This window comes from Homo sapiens, chromosome 18 (genome assembly GCF_000001405.40).
Source record: "Homo sapiens chromosome 18, GRCh38.p14 Primary Assembly".
NCBI lineage: Eukaryota > Metazoa > Chordata > Mammalia > Primates > Hominidae > Homo > Homo sapiens.
The window spans coordinates 49215769-49241158 of NC_000018.10; the positions used below are offsets into that span (position 1 = coordinate 49215769).

Genomic DNA, 25390 nt, shown 5'->3' on the forward strand with positions numbered 1-25390 from the left:
AGCCAAGATGGCCGAATAGGAACAGCTCCGGTCTACAGCTCCCAGAGTAAGCAATGCAGAAGACGGGTGATTTCTGCATTTCCATCTGAGGTACTGGGTTCATCTCACTAGGGAGTGCCAGACAGTGGGTGCAGGACAGTGGGTGCAGCGCACCGTGCGGGAGCCGAAGCAGGGCGAGGCATTGCCTCACTCGGGAAGCGCAAGGGGTCAGGGAGTTCCCTTTCCTAGTCAAAGAAAGGGGTGACAGATGGCACCTGGAAAATCGGGTCAATCTCACCCTAATACTGCGCTTTTCCGATGGGCTTAAAAAACGGTGCACCACGAGATTATATCCCGCACCTGGCTCGGAGGGTCCTACACCCACGGAGTCTCACTGACTGCTAGCACAGCAGTCTGAGATCAAACTGCAAGGTGGCAGCGAGGCTGGGGGAGGGGCGCCCGCCATTGCCCAGGCTTTCTTAGGTAAATAAAGCAGCCGGGAAGCTCGAACTGGGTAGAGCCCACCACAACTCAAGGAGGCCTGCCTGCCTTTGTAGGCTCCACCTCTGGGGGCAAGGCACAGACAAACAAAAAGACAGCAGTAACCTCTGCAGACTTAAATGTCCCTGTTTGACAGCTTTGAAGAGAGTAGTGGTTCTCCAAGCACACAGCTGGAGATCTGAGAATGGGCAGACTGCTTCCTTAAGTGGGTCCCTGACCCCTGACCCCCGAGCAGCCTAACTGGGAGGCACCCCCCAGTAGGGGCAGACTGACATCTCACACGGCCGGGTACTCCTTTCAGACAAAACTTCCAGAGGAACGATCAGACAGCAGCATTCGTGGTTCATGAAAATCCGCAGTTCTGAAGCTACCGCTGCTGATACCCAGGCAAACAGGGTCTGGAGTGGACCTCTAGCAAACTCCAACAGACCTGCAGCTGAGGGTCCTGTCTGTTAGAAGGAAAACTAACAAACAGAAAGGACATCCACACCAAAAACCCATCTGTACATCACCATCATCAAAGACCAAAAGTAGATAAAACCACAAAGATGGGGAAAAAACAGAGCAAAAAAACTGGAAACTCTAAAAAGCAGAGTGCCTCTCCTCCTCCAAAGGAACGCAGTTCCTCACCAGCAATGGAACAAAGCTGGACGGAGAATGACTTTGACGAGTGGAGAGAAGAAGACTTCAGACAATCAAAGTACTCCGAGCTACAGGAGGAAATTCAAACCGAAGGCAAAGAAGTTAAATACTTCGAAAAAAATTTAGACGAATGTATAACTAGAATAATCAATAGAGAGAAGTGCTTAAAGGAGCTGATGGAGCTGAAAGCCAAGGATCGAGAACTACATGAAGAATGCAGAAGCCTCAGGAGCCAATGCGATCAACTGGAAGAAAGGGTATCAGTGATGCAAGATGAAATGAATGAAATGAAGTGAGAAGGGAAGTTTAGAGAAAAAAGAATAAAAAGAAACGAACAAAGCCTTCAAGAAATATGGGACTATGTGAAAAGACCAAATCTACGTCTGATTGGTGTACCTGAAAGTGACGGGGAGGATGGAACCAAGTTGGAAAACACTCTGCAGGATATTATCCAGGAGAACTTCCCCAATCTAGCAAGGCAGGCCAACGTTCAGATTCAGGAAATACAGAGAACGCCACAAAGATACTCCTCGAGAAGAGCAACTCCAAGACACATAATTGTCAGATTCACCAAAGTTGAAATGAAGGAAAAAATGTTAAGGGCAGCCAGAGAGAAAGGCCGGGTTACCCACAAAGGGAAGCCCATCAGACTAACAGCGGATCTCTCGGCAGAAACTCCACAAGCCAGAAGAGAGTGGGGGACAATAGTCAACATTCTTAAAGAAAAGAATTTTCAACCCAGAATTTCATATCCAGCCAAACTAAGCTTCATAAGTGAAGGAGAAATAAAATCCTTTACAGACAAGCAAATGCTGAGAGATTTTCTCACCACCAGGCCTGCCCTAAAAGAGCTCCTGAAGGAAGCACTAAACATGGAAAGGAACAAACCGTACCACCCACTGCAAAAACATGCCAAATTGTAAAGACCGTCGAGGCTGGGAAGAACCTGCATCAACTAACGAGCAAGATAACCAGCTAACATCATAACCACAGGATCAAATTCACACATAACAATATTAACTTTAAATGTAAATGGACTAAATGCTCCAATTAAAAGACACAGACTGGCAAATTGGATAAACGGTCAAGACCCATCAGTGTGCTGTATTCAGGAAACCCATCTCACGTGCAGAGACACAAATAGGCTCAAAATAAAAGGATGGAGGAAGATCTACCAAGCAAATGGAAAACAAAAAAAGGCAGGGGTTGCAATCCTAGTGTCTGATAAAACAGACTTTAAACCAACAAAGGTCAAAAGAGAGAAAGAAGGCCATTACATAATGGTAAAGGGATCAATTCAACAAGAAGAGCTAACTATCCTAAATATATATGCACCCAATACAGGAGCACCCAGATTCATAAAGCAAGTCCTGAGGGACCTACAAAGAGACTTAGACTCCCACACAATAATAATGGGAGACTTTAACACCCCACTGTCAACATTAGACAGATCAACGAAACAGAAAGTTAACAAGGATATCCAGGAATTGAACTCAGCTCTGCACCAAGCGGACCTAATAGACATCTACAGAACTCTGCACCCCAAATCAACAGAATATACATTTTTTTCAGCACCACACCACACCTATTCCAAAATTGACCACATAGTTGGAAGTAGAGCTCTCCTCAGCAAATGTAAAAGAACAGAAATTATAACAAACTGTCTCTCAGACCACAGTGCAATGAAACTAGAACTCAGGATTAAGAAACTCACTCAAAACCACTCAACTACATGGAAACTGAACAACCTGCTCCTGAATGACTACTGGGTATATAATGAAATGAAGGCAGAAAAAAAGATGTTCTTTGAAACCAATGAGAACAAAGACACAACATACCAGAATCTCTGGGACACATTCAAAGCAGTGTGTAGAGGGAAATTTATAGCACTAAATGCCCACAAGAGAAAGCAGGACAGATCCAAAATTGACACCCTAACATCACAATTAAAAGAACTAGAGAAGCAAGAGCAAACACATTCAAAAGCTAGCAGAAGGCAAGAAATAACTAAAATCAGAGCAGAACTGAAGGAAATAGAGACACAAAAAACCCTTCAAAAAATTAATGAATTCAGGAGCTGGTTTTTTGAAAGGATCAACAAAATTGATAGACCGCTAGCAAGACTAATAAAGACGAAAACAGAGAAGAATCAAATAGATGCAATAAAAAATGATAAAGGGAACATCACCACCGATCCCACAGAAATACAAACTACCATCAGAGAATACTACAAACACCTCTACGCAAATAAACTAGAAAATCTAGAAGAAATGGATAAATTCCTCGACACATACACCCTCCCAAGACTAAACCAGGAAGAAGCTGAATCTCTGAATAGACCAATAACAGGATCTGAAATTGTGGCAATAATCAATAGCTTACCAACCAAAAAGAGTCCAGGACCAGATGGATTCACAGCCAAATTCTACCAGAGGTACAAGGAGGAACTGGTACCATTCCTTCAGAAACTATTCCAATCAATAGAAAAAGAGGGAACCCTCCCTAACTCATTTTATGAGGCCAGCATCATCCTGATACCAAAGCCTGGCAGAGACACAACCAAAAAAGAGAATTTTAGACCAATATCCTTGATGAACATTGATGCAAAAATCCTCAATAAAATACTGGCAAACTGAATCCAGCAGCACATCAAAAAGCTTATCCACCATGATCAAGTGGGCTTCATCCCTAGGATGCAAGGCTGGTTCAATATATGCAAATCAATAAATGTAATCCAGCATATAAACAGAGCCAAAGACAAAAACCACATGATTATCTCAATAGATGCAGAAAAGGCCTTTGACAAAATTTAACAACACTTCATGCTAAAAACTCTCAATAAATTAGGTATTGATGGGACGTATCTCAAAATAATAAGAGCTATCTATGACAAACCCACAGCCAATATCATACTGAATGGGCAAAAACTGGAAGCATTTCCTTTGAAAACTGCCACAAGACAGGGATGCCCTCTCTCACCACTCCTATTCAACATAGTGTTGGAAGTTCTGGCCAGGGCAATTAGGCAGAAGGAAATAAAGGGTATTCAATTAGAAAAAGAGGAAGTCAAATTGTCCCTGTTTGCAGATGACATGATTGTATATCTAGAAAACCCCATTGTCTCAGCCCAAAATCTCCTTAAGCTGATAAGCAACTTCAGCAAAGTCCCAGGATACAAAATCAATGTACAAAAATCACAAGCTTTCTTATACACCAATAACAGACAAACAGAGAGCCAAATCATGAGTGAACTCCCATTCACAATTGCTTCAAAGAGAATAAAATATCTAGGAATCCAACTTACAAGGGACATGAAGGACCTCTTCAAGGAGAACTACAAACCACTGCTCAATGAAATAAAAGAGGATACAAACAAATGGAAGAACATTCCATGCTCATGGGTAGGAAGAATCAATATCGTGAAAATGGCCATACTGCCCAAGGTAATTTACAGATTCAATGCCATCCCCATCAAGCTACCAATGACTTTCTTCACAGAATTGGAAAAAACTACTTTAAAGTTCATATGGAACCAAAAAAGAGCCCACATTGCCAAGTCAATCCTAAGCCAAAAGAACAAAGCTGGAGGCATCACGCTACCTGACTTCAAACTATACTACAAGGCTACAGTAACCAAAACAGCATGGTACTGGTACCAAAACAGAGATATAGATCAATGGAACAGAACAGAGCCCTCAGAAATAATGCCGCATATCTACAACTATCTGATCGTTGACAAACCTGAGAAAAACAATCAATGGGGAAAGGATTCCCTATTTAATAAATGGTGCTGGGAAAACTGGCTAGCCATATGGAGAAAGCTGAAACTGGATCTCTTCCTTACATCTTATACAAAAATTAATTCAAGATGGATTAAAGACTTAAACGTTTGACCTAAAACCATAAAAACCCTAGAAGAAAACCTAGGCAATACCATTCAGGACATAGGCATGGGCAAGGACTTCATGTCTAAAACACCAAAAGCAATGGCAACAAAAGCCAAAGTTGACAAATGGGATCTAATTCAACTAAAGAGCTTCTGCACAGCAAAAGAAACTACCATCAGAGTGAACAGGCAACCTAGAGAATGGGAGAAAATTTTCGCAACCTACTCATCTGACAAAGGGCTAATATCCGGAATCTACAAAGAACTCAAACAAATTTACAAGAAAAAAACAAACAACCCCATCAAAAAGTGGGTGAAGAACATGAACAGACACTTCTCAAAAGAAGACATTTATGCAGCCAAAAAACACATGAAAAAATGCTCACCATCACTGGCCATCAGAGAAATGCAAATCAAAACCACAATGAGATACCATCTCACACCAGTTAGAATGGCAATCATTCAAAAGTCAGGAAACAACAGGTGCTGGAGAGGATGTGGAGAAATAGGAACACTTTTACACTGTTGGTGGGAGTGTAAACTAGTTCAACCATTGTGGAAGTCGGTGTGGCGATTCCTCAGGGATCTAGAACTAGAAATACCATTTGACCCAGTCATCACATTACTGGGTATATACCCAAAGGATTATAAATCATGCTGCTATAAAGACACATGCACACGTATGTTTATTGCAGCACTATTCACAATAGCAAAGACTTGGAACCAAGCCAAATGTCCAACAATGATAGACTGGATTAAGAAAATGTGGCACATATACACCATGGAATACTATGCAGCCATAAAAGATGATGAGTTCATGTCCTTTGTAGGGACACGGATGAAACTGGAAATCATCATTCTCAGTAAACTATCACAAGGACAAAAAACCAAACACCGCATGTTCTCACTCATAGGTGGGAATTGAACAATGAGAACACATGGACACAGGAAGGGGAACATCACACTCTGGGGACTGTTGTGGGGTGGGGGAAGGAGGGAGGGATAGCATTAGGAGATATACCTAATGCTAAATGACGAGTTAATGGGTGGAGCACACCAGCATGGCACATGTATACATATGTAACTAAGCTGCACATTGTGCACATGTACCCTAAAACTTAAACTGTAATAATAATAAAATTTAAAAAAAAATTGAGAATCAGGCAGCAACCTTTATTTGGTCATTTGGATAAAAGTACTGTTATTTTATAAAAAAAAAAGAAAGAAAAAAGAAACTAGACAAAGTATTATTTTGAATAACTTTAAAATGTAGAAATGACATTATATACTCAGTGGGTTATATTCTAAGGACAAATAGAAACACACACAAAAAAATCCTAAACTTCATTCACTTACTTAAAATTAGTTATAATATTGTGAAACAACTATATACACATACACGGAACAGAATAAAGAGAAAAACATTATATTTATGTTATTCAAAAAAGCAAATCAGAATTTCTGTTAAATAATCTAAAATTTGAATTAGAACTAAGAGTATAATCTTTTTTCTTTACAAGAATTTATATCTTTTCAGCTTTGTCCATTGAAGAGACCTAAAAAAAATTACAGACTCCTCAATAATGAGCATCCTATCACCTACCAACAACGTTGTGGCTTCTAGGTCCGAGACAAGAAATGTATTTAATACAAATGAGTTTGAGACATCTTGTTGGCCTAAAAGCAAGGAAGGAAGCAAGGAAACTGTCAAAGATAAATGCAGTCCTGTCAAAAAGACATAAGAGGCAACATAAGGGATCTCCCAATGGCCAAAAATGAAACAATCAGAAACCAAAAAGAATAACTGCTCTGCGACTGATCAAAAACATACAATCTATATGGACAATATGAACAGAGGTTCATAATAAAATAAATAAACAAAAAATGAAAATGTATCAATTACTACTAGAGGTACCAAAGGCATGAAACTCTAGTTTTGAAAATTAAATATTAAAAGGAAGAAGTTAAGCATTACTCCCCTCTTTCCAACTATGATTACACAGTGGATAAAGGAAAATTCTTCTTTACAGAAAAACTCTATGTCACAAATATGCACATAATATGGTAACTAGAAATTTGCCGTTTGGCAATATATAATAAAACCGTTTAGTCAAATGAAAGTCACATGAAAGAATGATGGTGACATTTAGAATGAAAGGATTAGCTATCACCATCTGAACCTACCAATCAATCTTAGTATCTCCAGGATAACTAGACATTATGTATCTCCTGATATGATAGAATATGAAATAAACAGGAACACGTATTAAGTATTTTTGCCAAAAAATTCCATCTAAATGATCTATCATCTAGAGTTAATTTTCAGTTTACAATAGAAATTGATGAGAGGGAACAAATTGAAGGACACAGGAAGATGCAAACAAACAAATCTGAAATGTGAGATATTCTGTAAGACTGCTTACCTGTTGACCAACTAGTCAAAGATGTGAGTTGAATAGTTAAAAAAGAAAAGCAAGCAAGGGGTACTGCACAACTTTTTTCTTAAACTTAGGTCGGGTAGCAAATAGTTGCAGTCTGTGTTGTCTCACTTAAAATCACTTAACTCTGCAACTGATGTGAGAAAGCAGCCATAGGATGCACACAAATGGGCATGGCTGTGTTCTAACAAAACTTCATTTACAAAAACCTGCCTCTGCTCGACTGAAAAAAACTAAGACACATGACTAATCAAATGTGGTGTGGGATCCTGTATGAATCCTGATTTGAACTAATCAAAATAAACATATTTTTTTCAAAGATAATCAGGCATAATGTGAATATGGGTTTTGAATCAGCTAATATTAAGGGAAGTGTTGTTAATATTCTTGAGTGGACAAACTAAATAATCAAATTGATGTAAATGAGTAACAAAGTACTACAGATGAAACTTGAAATAGATGAGATTTTGCCTGAATAGATAGGTAAGGGAAAGTTTCCTCATAAAAGTAACGATTCAGCCAAGATCTGCAAGATGACTAAAGATAAGCAGGAAAATAATTACAAGCAAAGGAAAAAGGCAGACATAGGACTGAGACTGGAAGGAAACATGTCTCCTATGCAAAAGTAAAGGACAATGTGTAAGGAGCTGACCTTGGGGAAGAACAGAGGTAGGTAAAATCACCAAGGAATTATGCCTTCATTCTAGGAACAATGGGAAGTATCTGAAGAGTATATAGCAGAGGAGTCACAGGATGAGATCTGCATTTTGAAATGATTGGCTGGTTGGAGACTGATGAAGCAAGAGTTGACATCAGACCTGTTAAAGAGTTACTGCAGGAGAGTAGGCACTAAGGCGATGATAAAGGAGAATGAATGGATTTGAGGGGTGGTTGCTGACAAGACTTGGTAATGAATTGAATATGGCAGGTGACAGGGAGTGTCAAAATTGACTCTCAGGTTTCTGGCATGCATAAATGGTGGTGTCATTCAATGAGGCGGCAACAGAGGAAGAGGATCAAAAGACTCTGGGAAAGGGCAAGATTTCCATTTTCGACATGCTGAGTTTGAGATGTCTCTGATAAACCCAAAAGATGACATTAGTCATCTGATTGGACATGCAGGTCTGAAGCCAGAGGATAGGGCTAGCTAAATGTATGTTTGTGAGTCATCGGTGTAAGGATGGGAGTGGCTACAATCACCTAGGAAAAGAGTAGAGAGAGAAAAGAGAAGGGGTTGCTACAGTCTGAATGTTTGTGTCCCCCACAAATGTATATGTTGAAATCCTAGCCCCCAAGGTGATGGTATTAGGAGGTGGGGTCTTCGGGAAGGCATTAGGATTAGGTGAGGTCATGAGGGTACAGCCTTCATGTATGGGATTAGTGTCCTTACAAGAGTCCGAGAGAGCTTGCTTCCACTCTCCACCATGGGAAGACAAGAGAAAAAACTGCCCTCTTTGGGTCAGTAAGCAGGTCCTCACTAGACACCAAATCAGTCGGCGCCTTGATCTAGGACTTCCCAGATTCCAGATCTGTGGGAAGTAAATGTCTGTTGTTTATAAGCTACCCAGTATATGCTATTTTGTTATAGCAACCCGAACTAAGACAGGGTGACTTTGAGAAATGCCAACATTTAAAGTATCACAAGATCACTTCAAATCTAGATAAACTTTTACAGAATTTTGAAGAGTGGCCAAAAAAACCATAAAGAAGATGAGGAAACCAAGAAGAGGTTATCTTGATGAAGGAGTGGTTACCAGTGTCAAATACAACTGAAAGGACAAACGAGACAGAAAATGTCCACTGGATTTGGCAATATGGAGGTCACTGGTGACCAACAATTCTTTTCATTAGTAACATTAAAAATACCATTGATTAAAACATAATCTGAATGTAAGACTTCCTGAGATATCGTTAATCCCATTGATTAGCTCATTCACATGCATTAAATATGCATTAAGTTTCCAGGGGAAATTTTTGCAAACTAAAAATTTATAAAATAGCATGCGTGCACACACACAATTTTACACAGTATAAAACTTACATATCCAAGAAAATAAGCAAAGGAAAATCTGGAATGAATGTCAGGAAACTATACAACAGTGGTGCAAGCACAACCCTTGAATCATTTCATTCCTTGGCAGCAGAAGCCATTTTTCCTGGAGCTGAATCTACTGCCAGCAACGAACATCCTGGGAATCTCTAGTATGAAGGATTAACAGACTGGCTGAAACACTGGAAAATATATTGAAGGGAACAATCTAGTACTAGCTCAAAGGGGATGAAATGACCTAACATCCCACTGCCAGATTTATAAAATAATAGAGACTATAATAATAATAATGAACCTCTTTACAATATAACATAACAATATTAGCATCTTTTCTGTGAGTTGTTTTATTAATTGCCGAAGAAATTCAGAATAAGAAATTCCTACATCTGTAGTAAAATACAATTTTTAATCAATTAAAATGTATACCATCACTGGTACTTGAGATTTAATCATATTCTCTGCTGATTTCAAAACCTTCCAATAAGTGCTTTCATCCTAAATTAGCCACTCATTCTGGTATATAAGTGCATCAATAAAGATCTAAAACCTGAACATTTGTAGAAACATAAATAACAGCCAAATATCTTAAATAGCAATTTTATAATATCTTTGTCAAATTACTTGCTTTCTGATTTTAAAATATTGTAAATATTATTAGGTTCAGATATAAATTTGGCAATAGCTACAGGAAAAATCATATTATCTCTTAGGGACAAATTTTATTTCCAACAATATTTTTGAGAACTTTAACTTGTCTTTGAAGACTTGATCACAGTTTACAGAATCTCATTCTCTTCCACATAGAAAACAAAGTAAATGCACAGATTATCATATACCACCAAAGCAAAGGGGACAAGGCACCTGAAAATAGTTTTTAAAGGTTTTGTAAACAGTAAGTCATATGCACCAGGTATCTAAAATTCCGAGACTGAACAGATGAAAATGTACAGGGAACTCATTAAGTATACCACTGTCCCTTGTTTTACAGATGTACCATCTATATTTACAGGTGTAGATAAACAGATCAATTTATTACCAGCATTCCTTCCTACATGGTATGTGGATGAAAAACGTCTTCTGACTTCGGACAAAGCAACTATTTAAAAAGAATGTTGTCATGGCTCTCCACTACAGACATTTGCTCTGCAAATGCCCAATATGGCCATGCAGCAATGTGAAGCTGGCTTGGTTCCCAGCAATGCACAGTTTGCTATATGGCTTGAAGTTGTATTTCAATGTGTTAATAGCATGTTGCTGTCTACTCTACTTGTGGTCTAATAAGCAAGGTCTAAAACTCCACAAATGCAGACATTCATTTGAAATTTCCTTCTGGCACTTTCTTGTGATGAATATAGAGTTAGGGTGAAGGGAACTCTAATGGAGATTTCATAAGAACAAAATTTACTTGAAAATAATTTATTGATTAGATTTGTTTACAACTTACATTTTGAAAGAAGCATTTCAATGTCATTATGTTCCTCTTTGTACCAAAGGAAATGGTGGATGGACAGAGCACACATTAAAACTATGACTCCCACAGATGCCAAATTGGTTCCAGTGGGAATGCAGTTGACTAAAGGAAAAAAAGACCTAAAGCACATGCTCATTACAAAAATAGCCATCAAAGACATATAATTCAGCCTGAAAATATTACAATTTACCTTTTAATGTCATCCAGAGAAATTAAGATACTTGTTTTAAAAAAATCTAGACTTTGGGGGACATGAATGATGACTATATGCTAAAATCAAAACTGTTCTTCAGTCCACACCCATCTGTCTGCACTGAATAATCTGAGGCATAAACACTAAGAATGTAATGGAAAAATTGAGTTCACAAATAAACAGGTATAAAATAGCACATTCAGCACATTTTATGATCATCAAAAAGCTTGCTCATTTTTAAAGTCATTATTTTGTACAAACTGCCTCTTGGCAAAACGATTTATAGCCATTATAAAATTCTTCCTAAAAAACTGAGCTCTAAGTTATGATTCTTCAACATCCATGCCACAAATATTAGATCAGTGAAGTTAGATAATCTGGAGCCATGAAATAAGGCCAATTCTGCTGAGAGTGATTAAATATTTATGTCATATCCTTTCTATAGCAGAGCAGTAAAAATACACACAAGATAAAATGCTACATAACGGTAAGAGTTTAAAGTCTATTGGAGTCATTAAAATAAGAACAAGTTTTCATATATATACACAGAAATTATGCCATTAAGTCATTATCAGAAGACCATCTCAGAGTCATTTTTCAGTTGTGGTCATGGATATACACGGAAACATCCACAGTCTCTCACCCTTGTACTCAGAAGGGTGTGGTGATACACACTAAACCCACATCTGTGAGCTGGCAGGTGAGGATTGTGGGAGCTGTCTGTCACAGGAATGTAGTCATCAGAAATTGAAGCTTGCTGAGGTGGATGGGTGGAGATGAAAAGACTGATCTTGGTCTCACCAGTCCAATGTTCTAACCACTCTAATTGAAGTATCAGCCTGACTGCCATAGTGACTGAGGCATATACCTCAGCATCTTCTCCAAGCAAAAAAGACAAGCTATGCAGTCTTTTGCCTCTGGTCTTTGCACCTGCTGCTGACTATCTGGAGATACTTCTTCAATCTCCGTATCCTCTGGAAAACTCCTACTCTTCACTAAGTGTGACTCTTCTATGAGGCCCTCCCCGATTGCTACATGCACATTTTGGTGCTCTCCCTTCTAGGTTCCCACTGTGCCTTATGCTTCCTACCAACATGCAACTTCACAAAATGAATTTGTAAATGGCTTTATTGTCTATCTCCCCTCTCAATAATCATAGAATCTTTGAGGGCAGATGTTGAGTTTTTATTTTAGTTTCTCTATACCCACTATAGTGCTTGGCATAAGAAACCACCATATTTATTAACTGGAGTAAATGGACAAAAACTAATGTTCCATATTCAATGATCCACAAGTCATCTTATGTATGGGAGTTCTATGCATCATCATTACCTTTATATTAGACTGACAAGCACAATTTAGGCTGGGCTGGGATTCAGAGTCATAACCATAAACATAAAATTACTTCCTTCCTTAGGAGTAAGCAAAGGCCTATAAATCACTGGCAACAGGAACTTACACAATAATTCCCAAGGTCTTAACTGCTCATTTCTTAAAATCTTAAGAAAACCCCACAATTTGGACATTTTGCAGACGGAAGTGAGAAAAATTCAATCATTATAATCATCCCTGGTCCCCAGCCAAAAGGAAAGCTTTCTATTTTCTTCCAGCAGAATAGAGAACTAGAATAACATGATTAATCTCACAGTTGGCCAAACTGAAATAGTTCTGAAGACTTTATAGTTATCACTTTATTCATTCTATGAATTATTTCAGATTATTTTAAATCAAAATCCGCAATACTTCTACCAACCTCTAGAACTAGGGTCCCTTATGAAGGCTACCTATCCTTTTTCAGGTAAAAGTTGTAACTGTTGGATATAGGAAATGGGTGAGGTGCAATGAAAGAGATCATGATGGGGGTTGGGAGGAAGTTTACTGTGGATAGGAAGACAAGCTAAAGTGCATTTTTGGTGGCCATTCCTAGAAGGTGAAAACTGGGTCCAAAGAAGACCTAAATTCTGATGAAAAGGACACAGGTTCTTATTTATCTCACATCTGAATAAACAGTTATTAGTTATTCAACTGTTCCCTTTATCTCTATTTTGTACATAATTTTTAAGAAAATTAACCAATGGTTACTCATCAGTTTATAATCTAGTTGAAGATGTAAAGTATACACATACTTACTAAAAGTTAAACACGAAAACAAGACATAAAATGATTCTATATTATTTATTATTTGACAAATAATAAAACTAATTTTAGATTTATTAACCTAATAATCTAATAATTCCAAATTACTTGACAAATAATAAATCTATTAGACAAAATAATAAATCTATAACAATAAGAGGTATAAGAACAGGGACAAAATAAAGTACTGTGGTCTATAAACAAGTATCAGGGGAAAAATGATAAATGGGAATTATAGATTATTTGAAATGTTGAGAAAAAACAAGCCACAGCCTGGAAGAAATAAATGTTTGCAAAACAACATACTTGCAAAGTACTTGTATCCAAAATAATATATAAAGAAAACTCAAACACTCAAAACTCAAAAACCCAAACAACCCAATATTAAAAAGGATAAAGATCTAAATAGACATTTCACCAAAGAAGATACATGGATGGCAAAAGAACACATGAAAAGATGCTCAACATTATTTGTCATTAGGGAAATGCAAATTAAAACCATGAGTGAGCACCACAGAACTATTAAAATGGCTTTTACAAAAAGCAAACACTAATTTCTGGTGAAGATGTGGAGCAACTAGAACTGTCATATATTGTTGGCAAGAATGCAAAATGGTATGGCCACTTTGGAAAATACTTTGACACCTTCTTATAAAGTTAAACATACAATTACATATGCCCAAGAAACTCTACTCCTAGGTATTTACCCAAGAGAAATGAAAATGTTAGGTTCCCACAAAATTCTCTACACAAATATTTATGGCAGCTTCATACATAATTGCCCCAAAATGAAAACATCCAAATGTCCTTCAATCAGTGAATGGATAAACTGTGGTATCCATAGAATAAAATACTTGCTCAGTAATAAAAACGAATGATACACACAAGAACATGGATAAATCTCCAGTCTCAAAAGACTAAATACCATATGATAAGATTTATGACAAAGTGGCAAAGGAAAACTAAATAACAGAAGGGGGCTTGGGTAGTAAGAATGGTTTGACTACAGAGCAGCACAGCGGAATCTTTAGGGAGATGAACATATTATCTTCACTATGGTGGTAAATACATGACTATATGTGTTTGTCAACTCAAAGAACTATTTACTAAAAGGGAAATTTTCTACATGTAATACATTTTTTAGTGTCCTAACAAATTAAAAACAACAGTCACTAAGGTGAAGCAGTAGCCTATGCTGGTCGAATATACCAACTGTATTCAAGGGAAGAAGAAAATTAGGTTATAGATTTTAAGCTCAATTCTAATGTCCTGTTCAAGCACAGACCATTTGTCTTTAAAAACCTTTGATATCAAGCCCCTTATAATCTCTCTACACTTTTCACATGTCTTTCCCATGCTAGCATCCAAAAAAATCTTACTACCTCAAAAAAGAACTACTATCAGACATCTGGGAACAAAACCAAGTGTTTCCTGCCATGACAGAGACTTGTTAATATCCTACCAAAAATGAGCTATACTGAAATGAGATAAGTTCCTGAGAAAAGCTTACCACACCCTAAATACTACAGCAATGGTTCATTCCACATCAATCTGTATATTGGCCCCAAACAAACAAAAGGCTTATTAGAGAAGAGTTATTTCTCAAGGTCTTAATGGAAGTCAGAGGAAATAGTCAATGAAGCACTAAATATTTAATTCAAAACACTCAGTATACTTGGTTTGGTAGTCTGAGACATACGCCTTATAATTAATAAAACAGATTTTCTCCTTAAGAATCCACATTCTATCTACTATCAGATAAAATTCTGCAGAGGGCAGAGAACAAAAGAGATACAGAACCATGCAGAAAAACTCAATAACCTATATGTAGAAATAAGTAAAAGGCAAAAAAGAGTATTTCTACACGATGAATATACTTTAAAATGCACATAGAGCTTAAATAATCAAATGGGTCCATTATTTATTTAAAAAATGACTTCATGAATGTCACTAAAAGAATACTATTTTTCTAATGCACAATATTCATCTTTTAGATAGATATATTAGCTTAGACTACTACACTGCCTTTTGAGAAGTTCAAAGAACCTTAAGATCAACCTCATTACTCCATCCTTTAAAAAGGGTTTTCTAATTTTCAACTTATTTATTCATATATGTATGCGCTTATGTATGCATATATTTAAAGCAATGGAACCCTTTCTTCCAATGAAAGCTGATGTGAAATGGCAACGTGTAAACAGATCAAAGCAGAGGGGAGCTGCTCTGGGAGGAGTAGAGTGGGTATCCCAGAGCAGCTGGTGGCTGCTCATGTTGACACCAGCAAAGAAAGCACGAGATCTAGAGTACGAGAACAAAACACAGAACCTGAAAATGATTGCTTTAAAGTAAAAGGTATCAGAATCACAGAATCTTGGATTTGGGGGTAGACCTCCCTTTACCCAATTTTCCATCCATCTCTCTGATGGTGCCTCCAAAGGTATGCAGCCACTGCTGAACAGCTTAAGTTCTCTTAGGTCTTTCCCAGGACTCTTTCCCAAGTGAAAATGCAGGTCACAGTTACACTGTCCTATGTGAAAGATACTGAAATACATGAACGAGTTGCCACATTCCTTTTGGTTATTAGGATCAGCATGTTTCCTTTGTCAAATAAAGTGGAGTGGATCTACTTGTATCTGGTTCCTCTGAGGTAGTGGCAGTCTAGATCCAACTCTAATGAAATAAACAGCTGTTACAATGCTTCGTAGTGTACTAGCACATCTGGAGCTAAAAAGTCACCAGAGGAATCTTAGTCAAAGATTCCTCTAAATACAAACTGTAAGTACTAACTAGCCTTGAAGAGGGTCACATCAACATGACTCTTAAAACTGCAACGTCTGTATCTGATTTTACTTCTGCAGGCAAGAAAAGGAACACAGGTTGGAGACAAGAAAACTTAGTATTCATAGATAAAAAATTTTAAAACATGTAATTCCTTTATAATAATATTCAGTTATATATACCTTCCAAAATTCTTTTTCTTGCCATCTGTTGATGTTTCTAAATTACACATGTGATTTTCATGTTCCCCTGCCTTTTACCTACTGAAATACTATTCATCCGATAAGATCTTGTTTGAAAGACAGGTACGTTATGAAGTATTCTGCTTTATCCTAGTTTGGAACTATTTGCTCCCCCCACTTTCCATATTCATATACTTTGCACAATTTATCACTTTCTGTATTAGCTGGCCATACGGAAATTCTACTTGATTGAAACAGAATTTCTTCTTTTTTGATTTTTTCTTTTTTTTTTTTCTTTTTGAGAAGGGGTCTCACTCTGTCACCCAGGCTGGAGTGCAGTGGCGCGATCTCGGCTCACTGCAAGATCCACGTGGGTTCATGCCATTCTCCTGCCTCAGCCTCCCGAGTAGCTAGGACTACAGGCACCCACCACCACACCTGGCTAATTTTTTGTATTTTTAGTAGAGATGGGGTTTCACCGTGTTAGCCAGGATGGTTTCAATCTCCTGACCTCGTGATCTGCTCGCCTCGGCCTCCAAAGTGCTGGGATTACAGGCGTGAGCCACTGTGCCCGGCCTCTTTTTTTTTTTTTTTTTTTTTTTTGGAAACAGACTTGCTCTGTCGCCCAGGATGGAGTGCAGTGGCGAGATCTCGGCTCACTGCAACCTCTGCGTCCCGGGTTCAAGCGATTCTCCTGCCTCAGCCTCTCAAGTAGCTGGGATTACAGATGCGCGCCACCACGCCTGGCTAATTTTGGCATTTTTAGTAGAGACCGGGTTTCACCACGTTGGCTAGGTTGGTCTTGAACTCCTGACCTCAGGTGATCCGCCCACCTCAGCCTCCCAAAAGTGCTGGGATTACGGGAGTGACCACCATGCCCAGCCTGAAACGGAATTTCTTATACTTAAAGTGTACTTTCACACTCCCTTTCAGTAGATAAGGTATTTAGATGTTGTAAGAATTAAAGATCCATATAATACAAAAATACATGGATTGGTTACAAACTGTGGGGGTGTCTAGCAGAGATTTAATACAATATCTAAAAATGTACCTTTCGGCCAGTGCAGTGGCTCACGCCTGTAATCCCAGCACTTTGGGAGGCCAAGGCGGGTGGATCACCTGAGGTCAGGAGTTGAGACCAGCCTGGCCAACATGGTGAAACCCCATCTCTACTAAAAATACTAAAATTAGCTGGACTTGGTGTTGCACCTGTAATCCCAGCTACCCGGGAGGCTGAGGCAGGAGAATTGCTGGAACCCAGGAGGGAGAGGCTTCAGTGAGCCGAGATCAAGCTACTGCACTCCATCCTGGGTGACAGGGCAAGATTCCATCAAAAAAAAAAAAAAGAAAAAAAACACCTTTCGCAGAACAGTCAGATGAAAAAAAAAGCATCCATTTTTTCAGTCAGATGAAATAGCTTCTAGATGCTCTTTCAGGTATAAAATCTTTGTGTTCAGATGTAGTTACATGACAGATTTCTCTTCAATCTAACCCTATGTCCCTCTAACTTGCCTATGATGGTGCTGTTGCTCCACTCCCACAATGTAGTAGTTGTGCTATCACTCCCTCCAGTTTGCTGGTTTCCAATGATTAGATAAATGCACTTGGTGGGGCAGAGGCTGTTGACTGTTCCCCAATGATCCATTTCTCCCTTTCTTCTACACTAACAGATTTTTTTTAGTAGAGCACATGGCTGCAATTAATAAAGACTATATTTCTCAGCTTCCACTGCTGTTAAGTATGATCCCATGGTGAATTCTGGATTGCTAGATTGAAGGTCTCCTGGCAGCTTCTGAGAACCTTCATTAAGAGTTAGTGCTGGCCGGGCGCGGTGGCTCACACCTGTAATCCCAGCACTTTGGGAGGCCGAGGCGGGTGGATCACGAGGTCAAGAGATCGAGACCATCCTGGCCAACATGGTGAAATCCCGTCTCTACTAAAAAAAATACAAAAAATTAGCCGGGCATGGTAGCGGGCGCCTGTAGTCCCAGCTACTCGGGAGGCTGAGGCAGGAGAATGGCATGAACCTGGGAGGCGGAGCTTGCAGTGAGCCGTGATCGCACCACTGCACTCCAGCCTGGGTAACAGAGCAAGACTCCACCTCAAAACAACAACAACAACAACAAAACTGAAGAGTTACTCAGTGCTGGCCATGCATGGTGGCTCATGCCTGTAATCTCAACACTTTGGGAGGTCGAGGTAGGAGGATTGCTTGAGTCCAGGAGTTCGAGAACAGCCTGGACAACATGGCAAAACCCTGTGTCTACAAAAAATAGAAAAAAATTAGTTGGGCATGGTGATGTATGCCTGTAGTCCTGGCTACTTGGGAAGCTGAGGTGGGAGGATTGCTTGAGCCCGGGAAGGGGAGATTGCGGTGAGCCAAGATTGTGCCACCACACTCCAGCCTGGGTAACAGAGACCCTGTCTCAAAAAAAAGAAAAGTCACCCAGTGTCTCACTTCACTTTTTATTGTTTGCCTCCTCCCCTATCCTGTGGCTTGAACTAAGATGCTTCCTGGACCTAAGAAGGAGGATGAAACCCTAGGGGATGGTTAGGGGATGGTGCATCTGAAAAGAGTGTGAGTCTCCGAGGACTGTGTGATAGGCAGAATTTCCCCTGCTCAAAGATGTCTATGCCCTAATGCCTGGAACCTGTGAACATGTTACATTACAGGTCAAAAGGTAATTTGCAGACATAATTAAGATTATTGTCCTTAAAACCGGGAGACTATCCTGGATTATCCAAATATGCACAATCTAATCATATGATCCCTTAAAAGCAGAGAACTTTATCTGTCTGGAGTCAGAGACATGTGGCAGAAGTCAGAGGGATTTCAAGCATGAGAAGCATCATTTGATGTGCCAGTTAGATGCAGGGGCCCACATGTAAGGACCAGAGAGAGGTTTCCAGGAGCTAAGCAGCCCTCAGGAAGGCAAGGGGGAACTCAGTTCTACAATCACAAGGAACTAGATTCTGCCAACAACCTTAATGAGCCTAGTGGTAGATTCTTCCCAGAGCCTCCCAATATGAACCCAGCAGGCCTACAACTTGATTTCAACCTTGTGAAACCTGGAACAGAGAAACCAGCAGAGCCAAGTCAGATTTCTGATCTACAGAATTGTGGGATAACAAATCTGTGTTGATTAAGCAGTTAAGTTTGCAGTAACTTGTTACAGCAGCAAATGGAAGCTAATACAGACTTTCTGGAGCAGAGCCTCCTTATCAGTCTCAGAAGGACTGCTCTGGACTTTACCTGGAGATAGAGGAAATTATTTCTTCTTTAAGATACTCAGATTTTAGGTTTTTCTCTTATTCACAGTTGAACCTAAATCTGACTGATACACCTGATGAAATCCTTTCAACACATAGCAATATCATGATCAAAAGCTAAAGAATAACAGAAGCTAAAGTGAAATACTATTCAAGTTGTGAAAAAAATTTAAAAATAGATGTAATGATATAAGTTAAACAGACTTTAATAAGGCCTATTTTCACTTTCTTAGTTGCAACAAAGATATGGTGTGATACTTCAAACTTAATAACATTTAGTCTGTGGCCCAATTTTAAGAAAGTCCTTTTTTAAGTGGCCTGACATTACACTGCTACCAGTCAGTGTCTAGACCAGTCAGGGTCAGTAATTACTTACGAGATAGAATAAGACCAATCAACACACACCAGCAAAACAGGTGCAAATGATATGGTAGGAAATAAAAGTAAAATTTCCAGTAAGTACCATATATCACTGTGAAAGAAAAAAAAAAACTGTGGCTTGAAAAAATGCCTAAAATCTTTCGATCATCACACAATATTCACTCAATTTTGTAAGTGCAATATAAAAACATAATACTATAAAATTTTCATATTCTTTTCCTCTTCATAAGGAATCAGAGACTTCTGCAAACAAAACTTGTTTAAACTAATTCAATTCTCATTTTAATATGAAACGTTTGATTTCTAGCTACACAAGGAGTACAAAATTTGTATAAAACACTGATAATTTTGTTTCAACTTTTTTGTTCTGGAATGTCCTATTCACATTACAGGTGTCACTTTGGATAACTTAAAAATTAAAACCTTTTTAAAAAACATATTTCAAAGGACTTCCAATTCTCCCTCTTATATGAGAATGGCCTGCGAAATGCCCATTTACAAATTTTTAAAAAATATGTAAATAGGCCAGGCACAGTGGCTCACACCTGTAATCCCAGCACCTTGAGAGGCTGAGATGGGCGGATCACCAGATCAGGAGATTGAGACCATCCTGGCTAACACGGTGAAACCCTGTCTCTATTAAAAATACAAAAAATTAGCAGGGTGTGGTGGCAGGCGCCTGTAGTCCTAGCTACTCGAGAGGCTGAGGCAGGAGAACGGTGTGAACCCAGGAGGCGGAGCTTGCAGTGAGCTGAGATCGTGCCAATGCACTCCAGCCTGGGCGACAGAGCGAGACTCTGTCTCAAAAAAAAAAATAAATAAATAAATAAATAGCCATTCTCAGTCATGTTACTGGTACTTCAGAACTATTTGAATTTGATCAAATATACCCCACTTTAGGAAAACTAATATATGGAAAGAAGAAATTGCTTTATAAATGGCAAGATTCAGGAAGGGAAATAGGCAGGGGTAAATTCCAAGAGCCAATTAACAATGGGAAATGAAAACAAAGTCTTTTAAAAATAACAACGTAAGTAAATAGGAAAATGTGAACTTGCTCCCAAAAGGCCACTCCGTAGGAGCCGGGCCTGCAGAACTCCCAGCCTCTGAGGTAGAGGATGAAAACAACATGCACGCGAGAGTCAGATTAGTCCAAACCATCTGCTCTTTGCAAATATAACTTAGCAAGGTGAACCAAGGAATCAGTGGTCCCTCATCTTGAACTTGCTCCTGCTAGACTTTCAGTCTTTTTCCTTGTTGCTTAACGAAGCTCAAGACACACATCAGATCTGGGAGCAGTTCACCTAGCCCTACCCTCTTGAAGAGAGAAACTCTCCTGCAGTTGCTTATCCAGGTATCTTCATGCTCAATTTTATTAAGCAAATTATCCATAAGGGTCTCCTGCTTGGAACCCGGGAATCAATCACTTTATGGGACAAGTACTAAAGGACTGTACACACTGAAAGGTTAGGTAACTTCCCAAGATCACACGGCTGGCAAGAAATGGAGGTGGGTCTCCCATTCCAGTGTTCACACTGTCATACACTGTCTCTGATGCATGAGTGAATATTTTCTTTCCAGAGCTGTTTGTATGTGTCTAGACATGCATTTATATAAACAACTTAAATGTCGTAATATATGGCATTAGCAATATTCACTGGATAAATTCAATGATATTTTGAGGCCATATATCTTTCAACATAGATTATATTATGGAAAATGCCTATAAAACTTTTTTTTTAAATTGCATATACGCAAGTAGAAAATCATCTAGAGTGTTATACAACAAGACATCAATTTAAGGATTACTTGGAAGCAGACATTATATTAACAGTTGGCTTCAAGTTTGTCTCTATTTTTTGTAATCAGCTTATGTTACTTTTGTTCTTTGAGTTATTTTTGAATCATTTATTCTAAAAATATTTATGTGCCATGTATTGTTATAAGGATACCATTAGTGAAAAAAATAAAGATCACTGCCCCTTTGGTGCTTACATGGTAAGAGATGAGAGGAAAAACATACACAGTGAAAAGGCTAGCTCTCCTCCCACCCCATAACCACTTTTATCAGTTTCTTGTGTGTCCTTCCAGAGTTTCTGCATGTAAACAAAGATAAATGCAAACAAATATTATTTTCCCCTGCACTAATCACATACTACATGTATTATTTCATATCTTGTATTTTTCACGTAATATATCTGAAAGAGCCTTCCATCAGTACCTTACTCTTTTTTTTTTTTTACAGCTGCACACTACTAGATCAATGTACCATATTTAAGTAGGTCTCTGTTGGTGGATATTTGAGTTGTTCCTAATCTTTTGCTATTATAAAAAATACTCCCAAAATAAACTAGTACATTGTCATTTTGCACAAATGCACGTAGGATTGCTGGGTCAAAGGGTGATGTTATTTGAAATTTGGATGGATATTACCACATTCTTCATAGGAGTTGTACCAATTTACACTTCAACCAGAAAATTTTGAGACGGTCTGTTTCCACATAACCTGGAAAATGGATTTTTCTAATCTGATAGGTAAGAAATAGCATGTCAGTGAAGTTTTAAACTGCAATTTTCTTATTAGACTTAAACTGTGCATTTTAAGCTATATTTAAGAGCTATGTGATACCCTTTTAAGTAACCTTTAAAATTGTGAAATTTGTGAATGCATCATCTTTAGGCAAATTGGTTACTGCCTCCATAGTGTCTACATGCAGCAATGGATCTGGCTTGAATTAATTAGCTATGTATTAATATTATTATTTAATATAATAGTATATAATAATATTATTTCTTCACTCTTGATGTTAAGAAAGTTAATAGCCAGGATTAGACTATAAGGATATTAACTGTTGTATTAGTTCCCCTAAGCCTAGCACAGAGCCTGGTGCACCTTAGTGTCCAATAAAATGTTTGCTTAAAAAAATGAGCAACAAAAAAGATGTTTTCTTTGGAAGTTATAGTGCAACAGCACCACCAAGGGGGAGCTTTAGCTAAAGCATCTCCCTATCAAATTTCCTCCAGCTGAATCGCTTGAACCCAGGAGGCAGAGGTTGCAGTGAGCTGAGACCATGCCATTGCACTCCAGCCTGGGTGACAGAGTAAGACTCCGTCTCAAAAAAAAAAAAAAAGAAACACTCCTCCAGCCAGATTTCCAAGCCACTGTGAATACATAATCAAATTGGAGACACTGTGAATGCTGTTTAAATGGCACTTGCAAACAACCCTCAAACTCCACCCTCCAAATGCTGCCCCTCAGCCTCTCTTGTATAGAACTTGAGCTGTTATTGTCAGAGTGAACATCCAGCCTGCCACACTGCCACAAGATAACACAGCCCTACATTTTCTCAGACTAAAGACAAGATTTGGTCAATATCAACAACTCAGTGGCCAGCAAGTGCAGCCACATGAACATGCATCTTACAGGAACTCTGTGCACTTGCTCCTCTTCCATTTTGACTATAAGTGAAGACACCTGTACTAGATAGTGGACATTTCCTGCTCATCAGAAGAAACTATGGGAAAAAGTCAGGGAGAGAATGTTAATGTCAAATGTAAATTAAAGGAAAAAAATGCAAAGAATAGCATTTGAATGGATTCAGCTTAAATTTTCTATTTTGAACAGAAGCCTGGATATTGATCTTAAGAATGAAAGTATTCATTTTCCCAGCTACAATAAGCAATAATTTATAAAACTTAATTCAACAGTCTCCTAGCAGTCTTGTGGCAGCTAGCATCCAAAGATGGCCACAAATGAACCACATCTCCCAGCACTTATGCCCTTCTGTGGTTCTTTCCTCTTGAATCTGGGCTGGTCTCGTGACCTGCTTTTGACCAATAAAATGTAACATTCAGGGATAGCTGAGCTAGGCCATAAGAAACCTTATAGTTTCTGCCACTCTTGGGATGTCCCCTCTTGGGAACCTGCCTGCGTTGCGGTGAGGAGGCCAAGCTTCATAGCAAGGTCACAAGAAGAAGAACTGAGGTGTTCCAGGCAACACCTCAACAGATCTCCCAGCTAGCATCAACTGCCAGCCTTGAGATGGGAGCACACTGGACACCCAGCCCAGCTGCTCTACGATGGCAAACAAGAGACCACAAGTAGAGAATCAGTTAGCTAAGCAATCAACCCAAAGCCCTGTGGAGGTCATTACAAATTGTTGTTTTAAGCCACTAAGTTTTGGGGTAGTTTGTTACACAGAAATAGACAACAGCAACAAATTTATTTCATAACCACACCCAGGCAAGATAAGCAATAAACTTAAAAGGCAATTTAGTACAGTAACATTGTTTTTTTATGACTTTTTAGAATAGAGACCATGAGCTCTTACAGAGAATAAACATGATTTATATATTCTGTATACCCCTTCTCTTTCAACCTCTGATAACTATGTTCTCAATAAATATTTATTAAATGGAAGCATGAATAATACAAATATAGTTAAATATTGATTATACTGATGGAAGGAAGGTATAATTCAGAAATAGTAGATATTTAAAAGTATATACACTGAACTCTGTAATACAGACATGCTCACATCCACTCTACCTATCTCATCCTGAAAGGGCATTAGAGTGCTGGTTCTTATACTTTTCTCAGGGCCCCTTTCAACTCTTAAAAATATTAATGAGAACCCCAAAGAATTTTTTCATATGTCAGTTATACTGACAGATATTAAAACTGAGAAAATATTAAATATTTACTAATTCATTTAAATTTAATAATAAACACATTACATGTTAACATTAATACAGTTAATGAAAAAGCCCCTTTAGTCATTTGAGAGATATTGGTTCACTGAATTATGCAGATCTTCCAAATGTTGACACATTTCATCAAATAATAGTTTTTAAAATCCATATTTACTAACATCATTGATGTTATAACAAAAGTCTAAATTATTAGGAAGTTGTCAAACTCATGATGCCAAATATAAGTTTTTCGAAATTTTAATTTTGACTTGAAAATTTTTTTTATTGGCAACCAACACTGGCAGTTTCCTCTCTGCCAAGACTGTCTCATGTTCTTTCGTGTAAAAATGCTATTCCATCAGAAAAGTGGCTAGTTCAGCTCACAACTCTATCACACACCTGCTTTTCCTCAAGACAATCATTGGAACCCAGTATGGAGTAGAAGTGCATTATGTGAGCTTCTAGTTTTACAACAGAAAATATCAAAAAGATGTACTCAAGGGTCAAGATTTATAACAACTAATCATTTTTACTATTTCGCCAAGGACATTTTTCAGTGAAGATGGTTTTTATTTTACCACAAATGTGTGTGTGGTTGTGGAAAATATAGTGAGTACTAGTACAGTTAGGCACCACTTGATTTATGCTAAGGTCTCAGCAGTTTTACCCCAACTTTGCTATTGTACCCTTGATGCAAATGTCAGCACAGTGGAAATGGCAAATGATGTCTTATTATAAAAGGCTTAGACTCCATGGACTCTCTGTGGCCCACAGAACACACTTCGAGAATC

The 25390-nt window shown here is 38.4% G+C and overlaps 1 protein-coding gene across 40 annotated transcripts in view; it reads right to left on the bottom strand.

Moving 5' to 3' along the window:
• Positions 1 to 25390, bottom strand: part of DYM (dymeclin) — a 424259-nt gene that overhangs the window by 179382 nt on the left and 219487 nt on the right. The window lies entirely within an intron of this gene.